Genomic DNA, 14,878 nt, shown 5'->3' with positions numbered 1-14,878 from the left:
AAATGTTCCTGTGCACTTGAGAAGATGGTGTATTCTGCTGTTGTTGGGTAGAGAGTGTTCCATAAATGCCAATCAGGTCAAGTTTAGTTGATTGTGTTTAAGTCTACTACATCCTTGCTGATTTTCTATCTGCTTGTTAAATTATTGAGGGTAAGGTATTGAATCTCTGGCTATAATTAGGGGTTTGTCCATTTCTCCTTTTAGTTCATTTATTTTGCAGCTCTATTATTAGTTGTATAAACATTTAGAATATTCATGTTCTCTTAATGAATCGACCATTAATGGTCAATTGGTTATTGACCAATTGGTTAATTGGTCAATTATCACCGGTCTTAATGAATTGGTCTTAATGATAATTGGTCAATTATCACTGGTCTTAATGAATTGACCAATTATCATAACATTTATCATAAATGACTTGACCATTTATCATTATGTAATAGTCCTCTTTATCCTTGTTAATATTCTTTGTACTAAAATAGACTTTGATATTCAGTATAACTGCTACAGTTTTATTTTAAGTAGTGTTAGCATCATGCATCTTTTCATATACTTTTTTTTGTATCTTTCTATTTAAAGTGTATTTCTTGCAGACAACATAAAGTGGGTCTCTCGCTCTCTCTTTTTAAAGTCTAATTTGACTTCTTTACCAATAACTTGGAAAAGGAAAAAATCTAATTTGACAATATCTGTTTTAAACTTAGGGTATTTAAACCATTTGTATTTAAAGTGATTATTGATATAGTTGGGTTTAAATTGATCCTCACACTATTTTATTTCTATTTATGTCACATATTCTTTGTTCCCTTTTCACTTTTCTTCCTTCTTTTGAATTAACAGATTTTTTGTAGTTCCAATTTATCTTCCCTTTTCATTTATTAAAGTTTATGTTGTGTTATTTTAGTAGTTGCTTTATAATTTATAATATATACTTAATTTTTCAGTTTACCATCAAGTGATATCATACCATTTTACCATTTCATATATAGAATAAGAACTTACAAAATATACATCCAGTTTCCTGCCTAGTTTTTATACAACGTTATCATGTATTTTACTTCTATGTATTTTATAAACCCTACAATACATTTTTATTATTTTGCTTTACACAGTTAATTATCTTTTAAAGAGATATAGTAATATAAAAAGTTTTTTGTATTTACCTCATTCTTAAGATTTCTGCTGCTTTTTATTCCTTTGTGTAGATCCAGATTTTCATCTGATGTCCTGCTTAAAGGACTCCTTAAGGTTTATTGTATTGCAGCTATACAATACAAATTCTTTTAGCTGTTGTTTGTCTGAAAATATTTTTATTTCAGCTTCTTTTTTTAAAAAAAAATTTTTTTTTTATTGTACTTTAAGTTTTAGGGTACATGTGCACATTGTGCAGGTTAGTTACATATGTATACATGTGCCATGCTGGTGCGCTGCACCCACTAACTCGTCATCTAGCATTAGGTATATCTCCCAATGCTATCCCTCCCCCCTCCCCCCACCCCACAACAGTCCCCAGAGTGTGATATTCCCCTTCCTGTGTCCATGTGATCTCATTGTTCAATTCCCACCTATGAGTGAGAATATGCGGTGTTTGGTTTTTTGTTCTTGCGATAGTTTACTGAGAATGATGATTTCCAATTTCATCCATGTCCCTACAAAGGACATGAACTCATCATTTTTTATGGCTGCATAGTATTCCATGGTGTATAGGTGCCACATTTTCTTAATCCAGTCTATCATTGTTGGACATTTGGGTTGGTTCCAAGTCTTTGCTATTGTGAATAATGCCTCAATAAACATACGTGTGCATGTGTCTTTATAGCAGCAAGATTTATAGTCCTTTGGGTATATACCCAGTAATGGGATGGCTGGGTCAAATGGTATTTCTAATTCTAGATCCCTGAGGAATCGCCACACTGACTTCCACAATGGTTGAACTAGTTTACAGTCCCACCAACAGTGTAAAAGTGTTCCTATTTCTCCACATCCTCTCCAGCACCTGTTGTTTCCTGACTTTTTAATGATCGCCATTCTAACTGGTGTGAGATGGTATCTCATTATGGTTTTGATTTGCATTTCTCTGATGGCCAGTGATGATGAGCATTTTTTCATGTGTTTTTTTGGCTGCATAAATGTCTTCTTTTGAGAAATGTCTGTTCATGTCCTTCGCCCACTTTTTGATGGGGTTGTTTGTTTTTTTCTTGTAAATTTGTTTGAGTTCATTGTAGATTCTGGATATTAGCCCTTTGTCAGATGAGTAGGTTGCGAAAATTTTCTCCCATTTTGTAGGTTGTCTGCTCACTCTGATGGTAGTTTCTTTTGCTGTGCAGAAGCTCTTTAGTTTAATTAGATCCCATTTGTCAATTTTGTCTTTTGTTGCCATTGCTTTTGGTGTTTTGGACATGAAGTCCTTGCCCATGCCTATGTCCTGAATGGTGATGCCTACGTTTTCTTCTAGGGTTTTTATGGTTTTAGGTCTAACGTTTAAGTCTTTAATCCATCTTGAATTAATTTCTGTATAAGGTGTAAGGAAGGGATCCAGTTTCAGCTTTCTACATATGGCTAGCCAGTTTTCCCAGCACCATTTATTAAATAGGGAATCCTTTCCCCATTTCTTGTTTTTGTCAGGTTTGTCAAAGATCAGATAGTTGTAGATATGCGGCGTTATTTCTGAGGGCTCTGTTCTGTTCCATTGATCTATATCTCTGTTTTGGTACCAGTACCATGCTGTTTTGGTTACTGTAGCCTTGTAGTATAGTTTGAAGTCAGGTAGCGTGATGCCTCCAGCTTTGTTCTTTTGGCTTAGGATTGCCTTGGCGATGCGGGCTCTTTTTTGGTTCCATATGAACTTTAAAGTAGTTTTTTCCAATTCTGTGAAGAAAGTCATTGGTAGCTTGATGGGGATGGCATTGAATCTGTAAATTACCTTGGGCAGTATGGCCATTTTCACAATATTGATTCTTCCTACCCATGAGCATGGAATGTTCTTCCATTTGTTTGTATCCTCTTTTATTTCCTTGAGCAGTGGTTTGTAGTTCTCCTTGAAGAGGTCCTTCACATCCCTTGTAAGTTGGATTCCTAGGTATTTTGTTCTCTTTGAAGCAATTGTGAATGGGAGTTCACTCATGATTTGGCTCTCTGTCTGTTATTGGTGTATAAGAATGCTTGTGATTTTTGTACATTGATTTTGTATCCTGAGACTTTGCTGAAGTTGCTTATCAGCTTAAGGAGATTTTGGGCTGAGACAATGGGGTTTTCTAGATATACAATCATGTCGTCTGCAAACAGGGACAATTTGACTTCCTCTTTTCCTAATTGAATACCCTTTTTTTCCTTCTCCTGCCTAATTGCCCTGGCCAGAACTTCCAACACTATGTTGAATAGGAGTGGTGAGAGAGGGCATCCCTGTCTTGTGCCACTTTTCAAAGGGAATGCTTCCAGTTTTTGCCCATTCAGTATGATATTGGCTGTGGGTTTGTCATAGATAGCTCTTATTATTTTGAAATACGTCCCATCAATACCTAATTTATTGAGAGTTTTTAGCATGAAGCGTTGTTGAATTTTGTCAAAGGCTTTTTCTGCATCTATTGAGATAATCATGTGGTTTTTGTCTTTGGTTCTGTTTATATGCTGGATTACATTTATTGATTTGCGTATATTGAACCAGCCTTGCATCCCAGGGATGAGCCCACTTGATCATGGTGGATAAACTTTTTGATGTGCTGCTGGATTCATTTTGCCAGTATTTTATTGAGGATTTTTGCATCAATGTTCATCAAGGATATTGGTCTAAAATTGTCTTTTTTGGTTGTGTCTCTGCCAGGCTTTGGTATCAGAATGATGCTGGCCTCATAAAATGAGTTAGGGAGGATTCCCTCTTTTTCTATTGATTGGAATAGTTTCAGAAGGAATGGTACCAGTTCCTCCTTGTACCTCTGACAGAATTTGGCCGTGAATCCACCTGGTCCTGGACTCTTTTTGGTTGGTAAACTATTGATTATTGCCACAATTTCAGCTCCTGTTATTGGTCTATTCAGAGATTCAACTTCTTCCTGGTTTAGTCTTGGGAGAGTGTATGTGTCGAGGAATTTATCCATTTCTTCTAGATTTTCTAGTTTATTTGCATAGAGGTGTTTGTAGTATTCTCTGATGGTAGTTTGTATTTCTGTGGGATTGGTGGGGATAGCCCTTTATCATTTTTTATTGTGTCTATTTGATTCTCTCTTTTTTTCTTTATTAGTCTTGCTAGTGGTCTATCAATTTTGTTGATCCTTTCAAAAAACCAGCTCCTGGATTCATTAATTTTTTGAAGGGTTTTTTGTGTCTCTATTTCCTTCAGTTCTTGCCTTCTGCTAGCTTTTGAATGTGTTTGCTCTTGCTTTTCTAGTTCTTTTAATTGTGATGTTAAGGTGTCAATTTTGGATCTTTCCTGCTTTCTCTTGTGGGCATTTAGTGCTATAAATTTCCCTCTACACACTGCTTTGAATGCGTCCCAGAGATTCTGGTATGTTGTGTCTTTGTTCTCATTGGTTTCAAAGAACATCTTTATTTCTGCCTTCATTTCGTTATGTATCCAGTAGTCATTCAGGAGCAGGTTGTTCAGTTTCCATGTAGTTGAGTGGTTTTGAGTGAGATTCTTAATCCTGAGTTCTAGTTTGATTGCACCGTGGTCTGAGAGATAGTTTGTTATAATTTCTGTTCTTTTACATTTGCTGAGGAGAGCTTTACTTCCAACTATGTGGTCAATTTTGGAATAGGTGTGGTGTGGTGCTGAAAAAAATGTATATTCTGTTGATTTGGGGTGGAGAGTTCTGTAGATGTCTATTAGGTCCGCTTGGTGCAGAGCTGAGTTCAATTCCTGGGTATCCTTGTTAGCTTTCTGTCTTGTTGATCTGTCTAATGTTGACAGAGGGGTGTTAAAGTCTCCCATTATTAATGTGTGGGAGTCTAAGTCTCTTTGTAGGTCACTCAGGACTTGCTTTATGAATCTTGGTGCTCCTGTATTGGGTGCATATATATTTAGGATAGTTAGCTCTTCTTGTTGAATTGATCCCTTTACCATTATGTAATGGCCTTCGTTGTGTCTTTTGATCTTTGTTGGTTTAAAGTCTGTTTTATCAGAGACTAGGATTGCAACCCCTGCCTTTTTTTGTTTTCCATTTGCTTGGTAGATCTTCCTCCATCCCTTTATTTTGAGCCTCTGTGTGTCTCTGCACATGAGATGGGTTTCCTGAATACAGCACACTGATGGGTCTTGACTCTTTATCCAATTTGCCAGTCTGTGTCTTTTAATTGGAGCATTTAGTCCATTTACATTTAAAGTTAATATTGTTATGTGTGAATTTGATCCTGTCATTATGATGTTAGCTGGTTATTTTGCTTGTTAGTTGATGCAGTTTCTTCCTAGTCTCGATGGTTTTTACATTTTGGCATGATTTTGCAGCGGCTGGTACTGGTTGTTCCTTTCCATGTTTAGCGCTTCCTTCAGGAGCTCTTTTAGGGCAGGCCTGGTGGTGACAAAATCTCTCAGCATTTGCTTGTCTGTAAAGTATTTTATTTCTCCTTCACTTATGAAGCTTAGTTTGGCTGGATATGAAATTCTGGGTTGAAAATTCTTTTCTTTAAGAATGTTGAATATTGGCCCCCACTCTCTTCTGGCTTGTAGGGTTTCTGCCGAGAGATCCGCTGTTAGTCTGATGGGCTTCCCTTTGAGGGTAACCCGACCTTTCTCTCTGGCTGCCCTTAACATTTTTTCCTTCATTTCAACTTTGGTGAATCTGACAATTATGTGTCTTGGAGTTGCTCTTCTTGAGGAGTATCTTTGTGGCATTCTCTGTATTTCCTGAATCTGAATGTTGGCCTGCCTTGCTAGATTGGGGAAGTTCTCCTGGATAATATCCTGCAGGGTGTTTTCTAACTTGGTTCCATTCTCCCCATCACTTTCAGGTACACCAATCAGACGTAGATTTGGTCTTTTCACATAGTCCCATATTTCTTGGAGGCTTTGCTCATTTCTTTTTATTCTTTTTTCTCTAAACTTCCCTTCTCATTTCATTTCATTCATTTCATCTTCCATCACTGATACCTTTTCTTCCAGTTGATCGCATCGGCTCCTGAGGCTTCTGCATTCTTCACGTAGTTCTCGAACCTTGGTTTTCAGCTCCATCAGCTGCTTTAAGCACTTCTCTGTATTGCTTATTCTAGTTATACATTCTTCTAAATTTTTTTCAAAGTTTTCAACTTCTTTGTCTTTGGTTTGAATGTCCTCCCGTAGCTCAGAGTAATTTGATAGTCTGAAGCCTTCTTCTCTCAGCTCGTCAAAGTCATTCTCCATCCAGCTTTGTTCCATTGCTGGTGAGGAACTGCGTTCCTTTGGAGGAGGAGAGGTGCTCTGCGTTTTAGAGTTTCCAGTTTTTCTGTTCTGTTTTTTCCCCATCTTTGTGGTTTTATCTACTTTTGGTCTTCGATGATGGTGATGAACAGATGGGTTTTTGGTGTGGATGTCCTTTCTGTTTGTTAGTTTTCCTTCTAACAGACAGGACCCTCAGCTGCAGGTCTGTTGGAATACCCTGCCGTGTGAGGTGTCAGTGTGCCCCTGCTGGGGGTTGCCTCCCAGTTAGGCTGTTCGGGGGTCAGGGGTCAGGGACCCACTGGAGGAGGCAGTCTGCCCCTTCTCGGATCTCCAGCTGTGTGCTGGGAGAACCACTGCTCTTTCAAAGCTGCCAGACACGGACATTTAAGTCTGCAGAAGTTACTGCTGTCTTTTTGTTTGTCTGTGCCCTGCCCCCAGAGGTGGAGCCTACATAGGCAGGCAGGCCTCCTTGAGCTGTGGTGGGCTCCACCCAGTTCGAGCTTCCCGGCTGCTTTGTTTACCTAAGCAAGCCTGGGCAATGGCGGGTGCCCCTCCCCCAGCCTCGCTGCCACCTTGCAGTTTGATCTCAGACTGCTGTGCTAGCAATCAGCAAGACTCCGTGGGCGTAGGACCCTCAGAGCCAGGTGCGGGATATAATCTCGTGGTGCGCTGTTTTTTAAGCCGGTCTGAAAAGCGCAATATTCAGGTGGGAGTGACCCGATTTTCCAGGTGTGTCCGTCACCCCTTTCTTTGACTCGGAAAGGGAACTCCCTGACCCCTTGCGCTTCCCAAGTGAGGCAATGCCTCACCCTGCTTCAGCTCGCGAACGGTGCGTGCAGCCACTGACCTGCGCCCACTGTCTGGCACTCCCTAGTGAGATGAACCCAGTACCTCAGATGGAAATGCAGAAATCACCCATCTTCTGCATCGCTCACGCTGGGAGCTGTAGACCGGAGCTCTTCCTATTCGGCCATCTTTGCTCCTCCCCACTTCAGCTTCATTTTTGAGAGACAATTTTTTCGCTGGGAAAGAATTCTAGGTTTTCTTTTTCAATTATTTAAAAAGTGTTGTTCCACTATCTTCTAGGTTACATTTATTGCAATGAGAAATTTGCTGTCAAATTTCTTTGCCCATTAGGTACTAACTTTTTTCCTGCTAGCTGCTTTGTATAGAAAATTTTGATTATGTTGTAGCTGGTGTAGTTTTCTTTGTTATTTTTGCTTGGAGTTTGTTGAAGTTTTTGGATCTGTGGGTTTTTCCAAATTTGGAAACTTTTGGTCACAATTTTTTCAAATATTCTTTCTGTCTCTCTTCTCTGCTTTGCTGATTCTAATTAGACAAATATTTGATCAAAAGTATCCCATAGTTCATTGATGTTTTGTTAATTTTCTCAGTTTGTTTTCTTTCTCTCTCTTGCTCATTCATTCTTGTTCTGATTCTCTGTTTTTCATTTTAGGTAGTTTCTATTGCTGTCCTTTTAAGTTCACTACTTTTTTATGAACGAAAAAATTAATCTGCTGTTAATCCTATTCAGTGTATTTTTCATTTCAGACAGTATAGTTTTTATCTCTAGAAGTTCATTTTGGGTCTCTTTTATATCTTTAACATCTCCGTTTAACATGCTCAGTCTTTTTTCCAGCTTCTTAAATGTATAAAATGCAGTTATAACAAATGTTTTATTTTGCTTGTCTAATAATTCTATTACCTGTATCATTTTTGTTTTTTATTGAGTCTTCTCTTCACTATGGGATGTATTTTCCTACTTCTTTGCATGACTGGTAATTTTTGATTGGATGCTAGACATTTTGAATTTTACCTTGTTATGTCCTGGATATTTTGGTATTCCTATAAATATTCTTGCATTTTGTCCTGAGATGTGGTTCAGTTATTTGAAAATAGTTTGATCTTCTTGAGACTTTTTTAAACTTTATTTTTAGAAGTTTTATTTTTAATTGAGAAATAATAATTGTATATATTTATGGAGTATAATGTGATGTTTTGATGCGTGTATTCTTGAGACTTTAAAAAGGTTTTGTTAGGTGAGACCAGACCTGCATTTAGCCCAGGTTTAATTTTTCCCTCATTGAAGTGAGACTTTTTTTGTACTCTGAATGATACCTTGTGGTTTATGAAATGTCTTCACTCTGGCTTTTGGGGACAGACACTATTTCCATTCCATTGTGAACTTCAAGCATAGTTGCTGCTACCTATTTTCTAGGTTGATTTTTGCTCAGTAGTTTTCTTACATGTATGTGTTGATCAGTACTCAGGTGAAGTATTGAAGGAAATTCCCTGCATATTTCTGGTATCCTTTTTCTGTGCAACTCTCTCTTCTCTGGTACTGTGTCTTATGAACTCTACTTTCTCTGACTACCCCAGATTTTCCAGATTTGGCTCTTCAATTTAGGGAGAAATGTGAGCTCTGAGTAAGTCCCTCCCTCCCTGTGCCATGGATTGGAAATGTTCTCCAAGTAGTAAGTTGGGGTAATAGAAGGCCTGACCACACTTGTTTTCTGTCTCTTTGGAATTTACAGTGTTTTGCTTTCTGATATCCAATGTCTTGAGAGTTGCTTCATATACTTTGTCCAGGTTTTTAGCTGTCCAGGGTATAGAGTAAATTCAGTTCTTGTTATTCCATCTTGGCTGGAAGCAGTTCTGTTTAATTTGATGCAAAAATTGTATGAATATCACTTGGTAAAAGCCTATCCTGTTTAACAAGTTACTTTACACTGTTTACTGATAAGCATTTAATACTTAAGTTCATGCACATGGCTCCATTCACATTCAGTGTTTTGTAGATTTTCCTGACAGTCCTGTGAGACTGGTTGGGGTAAGTCGGAGTGATTCTTTGATAGATGAGGAGACTGAGGCAAAGAGAGGCTAGGTGACTTGCTCAAAAATTTACAGTTACTTTAATAATTGAGACTAGGACCTAGGAACCCAGAATCAGGTTGTTGTGATCCTTGTGTCATAACAGGATGCCATATTGATGTTTCAAAAATAGACTCATGCTCTGGGTCATTTAGGGATTTTAAAAAACTTTATATTTTACTTTGTTAGAATATAAAACTTCTGTGAGTAAAGTTGAATCATTAAATGGGGTCAATCCCATTCTATGGGGATAGGGGATTTATTCCATTCTCTCTCTCTCTCTCTCTCTCTCTCTGTATATATATGTATATGTATTTAATATATATATGTATATAATATATTTTATAATATATGTGAAGCCCTTCTTACATGCAGTGATTTGAGAAACTGGTAGGCTTGACATAGTTGGGGAAAAACTTATGTCTATTTTTCTGTTTATACTTTGTTTTTCTCTCCTAGTTCCTACCTCATTAAGCTCTAGAAATAGTTCAAATTTAGATATCAGCTAAGGCCTCTTTGAAAAAATTTTGCACCCCATTCTTTCTCTTTTTAAGTGTTGTAAGAAAATATACTTTCAACTGGCATAAAGAAAGCTATGACATCTTAAGAATTTTTCTATAAGATTCTATGAAAACACTTATTTGAGGATGATTTCGGTTCTGTCCTTTCTGTGGGGGAATGTAAAACAAAAGGAATAGCAGGTCATTTTCACACCTTGAATTCAATTTGTGTCTATTTTATAATCTATTTTTATGGCTGTCATCCAATTTTGTCCCTCTAGTTTAGGTTGTATCTAATAGTATCTTGGCTTTGAGTTAGGCAGGATAGGAAGAGATTTGCTATTAACCTGGACTAACACAGACTCCTGTGACACTTAAGAGGTTGTATGAAAGGGATAGAAATGGATGTCTCACTTTGATGTTGAATATGTGGGGACATACACACACACACTCTACACACATTCTCTCTCTCAGAGGAAATTTTAACTCAGTTGGAGCCCTGGGGACATGTAAACAGGCACAAGGAGATTTCCCATAGGCTTACAGGGTAAGGGAGAGCTATCCCTCTCCCGTGGATTAGCAGAAATGGCAGATGGCATCTTTCTCCCCTAATAATCACCAGATGGCATAAAGCTATGCCCTGTGGTGCAGGAAGGAGGAAACTGGGTTGATCATGTATTTTCTACACTTAAGTTCTTCTTATTTGATTGACATTTGTCTGTGCTACTGGTCATATATTTACGTTAGAAGAACTTAAAGAAAGAGTGCAAAACCTCATTGTGGTTGCAGAGAGTATTCATTTTAATTTAATAAATTTAGCATGTTTTACAAGCTAATAACTTGCAAATCTGCTAAGCAGACTCGCAAGTTTCTGTTCACTGGTATCATGAACCATGATATCTGTTTGCATCCTGTTCTAAACCTCCTTTATTCAGCATTCTTCAGGAATGATATAATGCTTAGAGAATTGAAGTTTAAGCTGGGCACAGTGGCTCACGCCTGTATTCCCAGCACTTTGGGAGGCCGAGTTGGGCAGATCACAAGGTCAAGAGTTCGAGACCAGCCTGGCCAACACCATCTCTACTAAAAAAAATACAAAAAAAATTAGCTGGGTGTGGTTGTGTGCGCCTGTAATCCCAGCTACTCAGGACGCTGAGGCAGGAGAATCGCTTGAACCTGGGAGGCGGAGGTTGCAGTGAGCCGAGTTGTGCCATTGCATTCCAGCCTGGGGGACGGGACAGAGCGAGACTCCATCTCAAAAAAAAAAAAAAAAAAAAAAAAAAAGAGAATTGAAGTTTAACCTTTAATCTTTTGAGTAGCAGAAGTTTTACTGTAAAACTTAAAAATAAACCTTTAAAAATCTTTAGATATTGATGTTCAATTTTATTGAACAGTATTATAAACATGATTTAACTTTTCCTGTTAGAGACATAAGTTGTAGTACAGGTGTAGTTGACATTGTGAAAACAAATGAGACTAAAAGCAGAATGGATCTTACTTAATTCTAAAGCAATCTTAGAGTAAAAGTTGATGGCAGTTTTTAAAAAAGTTGTAAGTAGATCTCCTTTTTAATCAACAGATTGTAGTGGTTGAATGGAAATAAGGCAGTAAGTATTTTAAGTAAAACCATTTTATCACAACATTAATCTGAAATGTTACAATGAGTTCCACGATCACTGGGGTCCTGCAAGGTAATTAGACATCAAGATGTATGTTTTCTTATCTGTATTTGACTGGTGGAGTCACTCCTTTTGGATTAAATATATAGTATCTTTAATGTATAGAAATGAAATATATCATCTTGAGAGACTGCTGTGCCCTGACAAGGCTTTTCAAACTGCCTTTGTTTAAAGACTGACCTTTTGTTTTGTGTTTTCATATCCTGCTTAGTACTTTTGCCTCCTGGGCTGGCCACAGCCTTTTCTCCCCAGAAGGAACTCATTTGTTTTACAGCTGGATTATTATGATTTCGTAGTGGTTATAGATTTTAATGCACATTAAGGGTTCTTTTTATATTTTAATGTCATTTGGGTTACGTAGGTTAAAAATCCGTTTAAGTTCAACAAATGATTTTGGGAAAAGTGCACATCCACATGCAAAAGAATGAAGTTGGATCCTTACCGTACACCATATACAAAAATTAACTCAAAATGGATTCAAGACCTAAACATGAGTTAAAACTATAAAACTCTTAGAAGAAATTATAGACATAGGGGAGAAGTTTAATGACATTAGATTTGGTAATGACATCTTTAATATGACACCAAAAGCATATACATTAGACTACATCAAAACAAAAAACTTGTGTATATCAAAGGACACAATCAATACAGTAAAAACCAACCTATGAAATGAGAGAAAATATTTGCAAATCACATATCTAATGAAGGGTTAATATCTAAACTATATAAAGAACTGCTACAACTCAACAACAATAAAAACCAAACAACCCAATTAAAAAATGGGCAAAGGTCTTGAATATATATTTCTCCAAAGATGATACACAAATGGTCAACAAGTACATAAAAATGCCCTAATCATTAGGGAAAATCTAAATAGAAACCAAAACAAGATACCTTTTCATACCTTGTAGGATAGTTGTTGCTGCTGCTGCTACTACTACTACTACTACTACTACTACTACTACTACTAATACTAATACTATTACAAACCAAACCAACAAAACAAAACAGACAATAAGAAGCGTTGGAAAAGATGTGGAGAAATTGGAATACTTGTTTACTGTTAGTGGGCATATAAAATAGTGCAGTCACCATAGAAAAGACTATGGCAGGTCCTAAAAAACTTAAAATAGAATTATCATACTATCCAGCAATTCCACTTCTGGGAGTATACCCAAAAGAACTGAAAACAGGAACTCAGAGATATTTGTACACCTACGTTCATAGCAGCATTATTCATAAAAATTAAAAAGTGGAAGCAACCCAAATGACTGTTGATGGATGAATAGATATACAAAATATGGTATATACATGCAATAGAATATTATTCAGCCTTACAAAGAAAAGAAATTCTGAGACCTGGTACAACATGGCTGAACCTTGAAGATATTAAGTGAAATATACCAGTCACAGAAAGACAAATGCTGTGTGATTCTACTTACATGAGCTATCTTGAGTAGTCAAATTTGTAGGGAGAGAAAGTAGAATGGGAGCTGTCAGAGGTTGGGATGAGGGAAAAGTGAAGAATTGCTCTTTATGGATGTAGAGTTTTAGTCTTACAAGATAAATAGAGTTGTGGAGATTGGTTGCACAACAATGTCAACATACTTAGTATTATTAAACTGCACATTTAAAAATGATTAAATGGTAAATTTTATGTTACATATATTTTACCACAACTAAAAAAAGAAACAATGGGAAAAGATTTTGTCAATGAACTGCTTGGTAGTCTACCAGTTGGGGATTGGATAAACATTTACTCCTGTGAAGATTCAGGCAAGGGCAGGGATGAGTTAGGGGAGGCATAAAGGTTAATTTAATGATAGTCAGACTATAGTAAAGGGTGTAGCAGTGGTATAAACAAAGTCCAATGGGAACAAAAAAGGAAAACTTAAGTCTTCCTGGAGGCATACGAGAGATCATCCTAGACAAGGTGGTTTTATCTGAGCTGCTTTGAAAGATGAGTGGGAATATGACAGGTGGAAAAAGGAAGAAAGGAAATAATAGGGCAAGGAAACAGAATGAGCACATGCCATAAAGTTGTGAAAGACCGTAATTTGGAAATGGTGGTGGCCAGAGCACAACTCTTTGTGAATACTTCCAATATTCCCATTGGTCCAGAACTGAAGTCTACTAAATGTGCAAATTAATTTTCTCTTCATAATTCATTTAAATTCTGTATTAGTTTCCTATTGCTGCTGTAACAAACCACCACAAATTTAGTGGCTTTAAACAACACAAATTTATCTCGTAGTTCTGGAGGTCAGAAGTTCTGAAATCAAAGTGTCAGCAGGGCTGTGTTTCTTGTAGAGGCTCTAGGGGAGAGTCAATTTCTTTACCTTTTCTAGGTTCTATAGGTGGCCTGTATTCTTTGGCTGGTTGACCCCTTCTTTGCCTTGGTCTGAGCTCTGCTTCTATTATCACATCTCCTTCTCTCCCTCAGACCTGCTTGCCTTCCTCCTATAATGATTCTTGAGATTACATTGGGCACATGTGGATAATATCTCAACGTCCTTAATTTTATCACATCTGCAAAGTCCCTTTTGCCGCGTAAGATAATATACTCATAGGATTTGGGGATTGAGATGTAAATACCTTTGGGAGCCTATTTTTCTGTCTTCTATAGATTCTATAGGAGTGAAATATCTTAGGGCTCAAAATATAGAGGCTGAATGAATTTGTATATCTAAAGAGTAAGCAACCCAGATCATATTTTTCTTGCTATTCATATTAGTTGATTTCCTGCAACTTAAATCATCACCCTTTCATCTGTCAGTATCCTGAGCTGTGACTCTCAAAATAATCTCCGATCATTCATGGTTTCTCACTTAGTGAGACCCTTATAACACCAATCCTTGCCAAGTCATAAAGCATTTAAGAAGTTCCCGTTGCCTTCTTTCCTTTCACCACCAAATTTGGAAAGCGGATTCAATACTCACTGTCTTTATTTCCTCAGCTCTCATTCACAATTCCACACAGGAAAAGCTGGCACCTCTCTGGGATTTAGTTTTCTTACCTGGTCCAGGTTGCTTATTTTTGAGATGTTTCTCTCCAGCTTTAAAGTACCATGATTCTATGATACTACTTCTTCTCAGTCATGCAGCATCAGAAGTGGGCTAGTTCCCCTCAAGTCTCTTAGCCCCTAGTCAATTATTTTTCTCCTAGGATCTCAAGCCAAGCTGTCAGTCTAATCATTGTGTTGTAACAAGCTTCCGTTCGGAATTCAGCAAAAACGTTTTTTGCATTGTAGAATTCCATTAAGAAACAATTCAAGCTGGGAATGAAGGCTGTTCCTGTATTCCTGGGAGGCTTCTCTTCCAATGCTGGGTCATACATTGTTGCCTTTCTGGCTAAAGGTTTCCCTATATTAATACTGCAAAATTATCACTATCTCAGGATGGAAGGAGATAGTAATCCTAGCATAGATATATTCAAGGTAGCTTGGCTTCTGAGGGTTCCAAGTTACTAATAGCTTT

General features: G+C 37.4%; 1 long non-coding RNA gene across 1 annotated transcript in view, besides 1 other annotated feature; it reads right to left on the bottom strand.

The window, feature by feature from the left end:
• The window catches only part of LOC105370829 (uncharacterized), a 35,427-nt gene extending 20,843 nt beyond the window's left edge, over positions 1-14,584 (bottom strand). Inside the window, exon 1 of the long non-coding RNA NR_135679.1 lies at positions 14,419-14,584. This is a non-coding gene — a long non-coding RNA (uncharacterized LOC105370829). The remainder of the gene's footprint in view (positions 1-14,418) is intronic.
• Positions 6,461-7,042: an enhancer, noted in NCBI's record as "H3K27ac-H3K4me1 hESC enhancer chr15:55356487-55357068 (GRCh37/hg19 assembly coordinates)". NCBI's record gives its function as "activates a minimal SCP1, AML or CMV promoter by ChIP-STARR-seq in primed H9 embryonic stem cells {active_cell/tissue: H9 hESC(primed)}" and the evidence as "EXISTENCE:reporter gene assay evidence [ECO:0000049][PMID:30033119]".
• Positions 14,585-14,878: the final 294 nt, after the last annotated feature.

The sequence above is a fragment of the Homo sapiens genome, chromosome 15 (genome assembly GCF_000001405.40).
Source record: "Homo sapiens chromosome 15, GRCh38.p14 Primary Assembly".
NCBI classification, from domain to species: Eukaryota; Metazoa; Chordata; class Mammalia; order Primates; family Hominidae; genus Homo; species Homo sapiens.
Note: the sequence above shows the minus strand (reverse complement) of the source record. Positions and strands in the feature narration are given on the sequence as shown.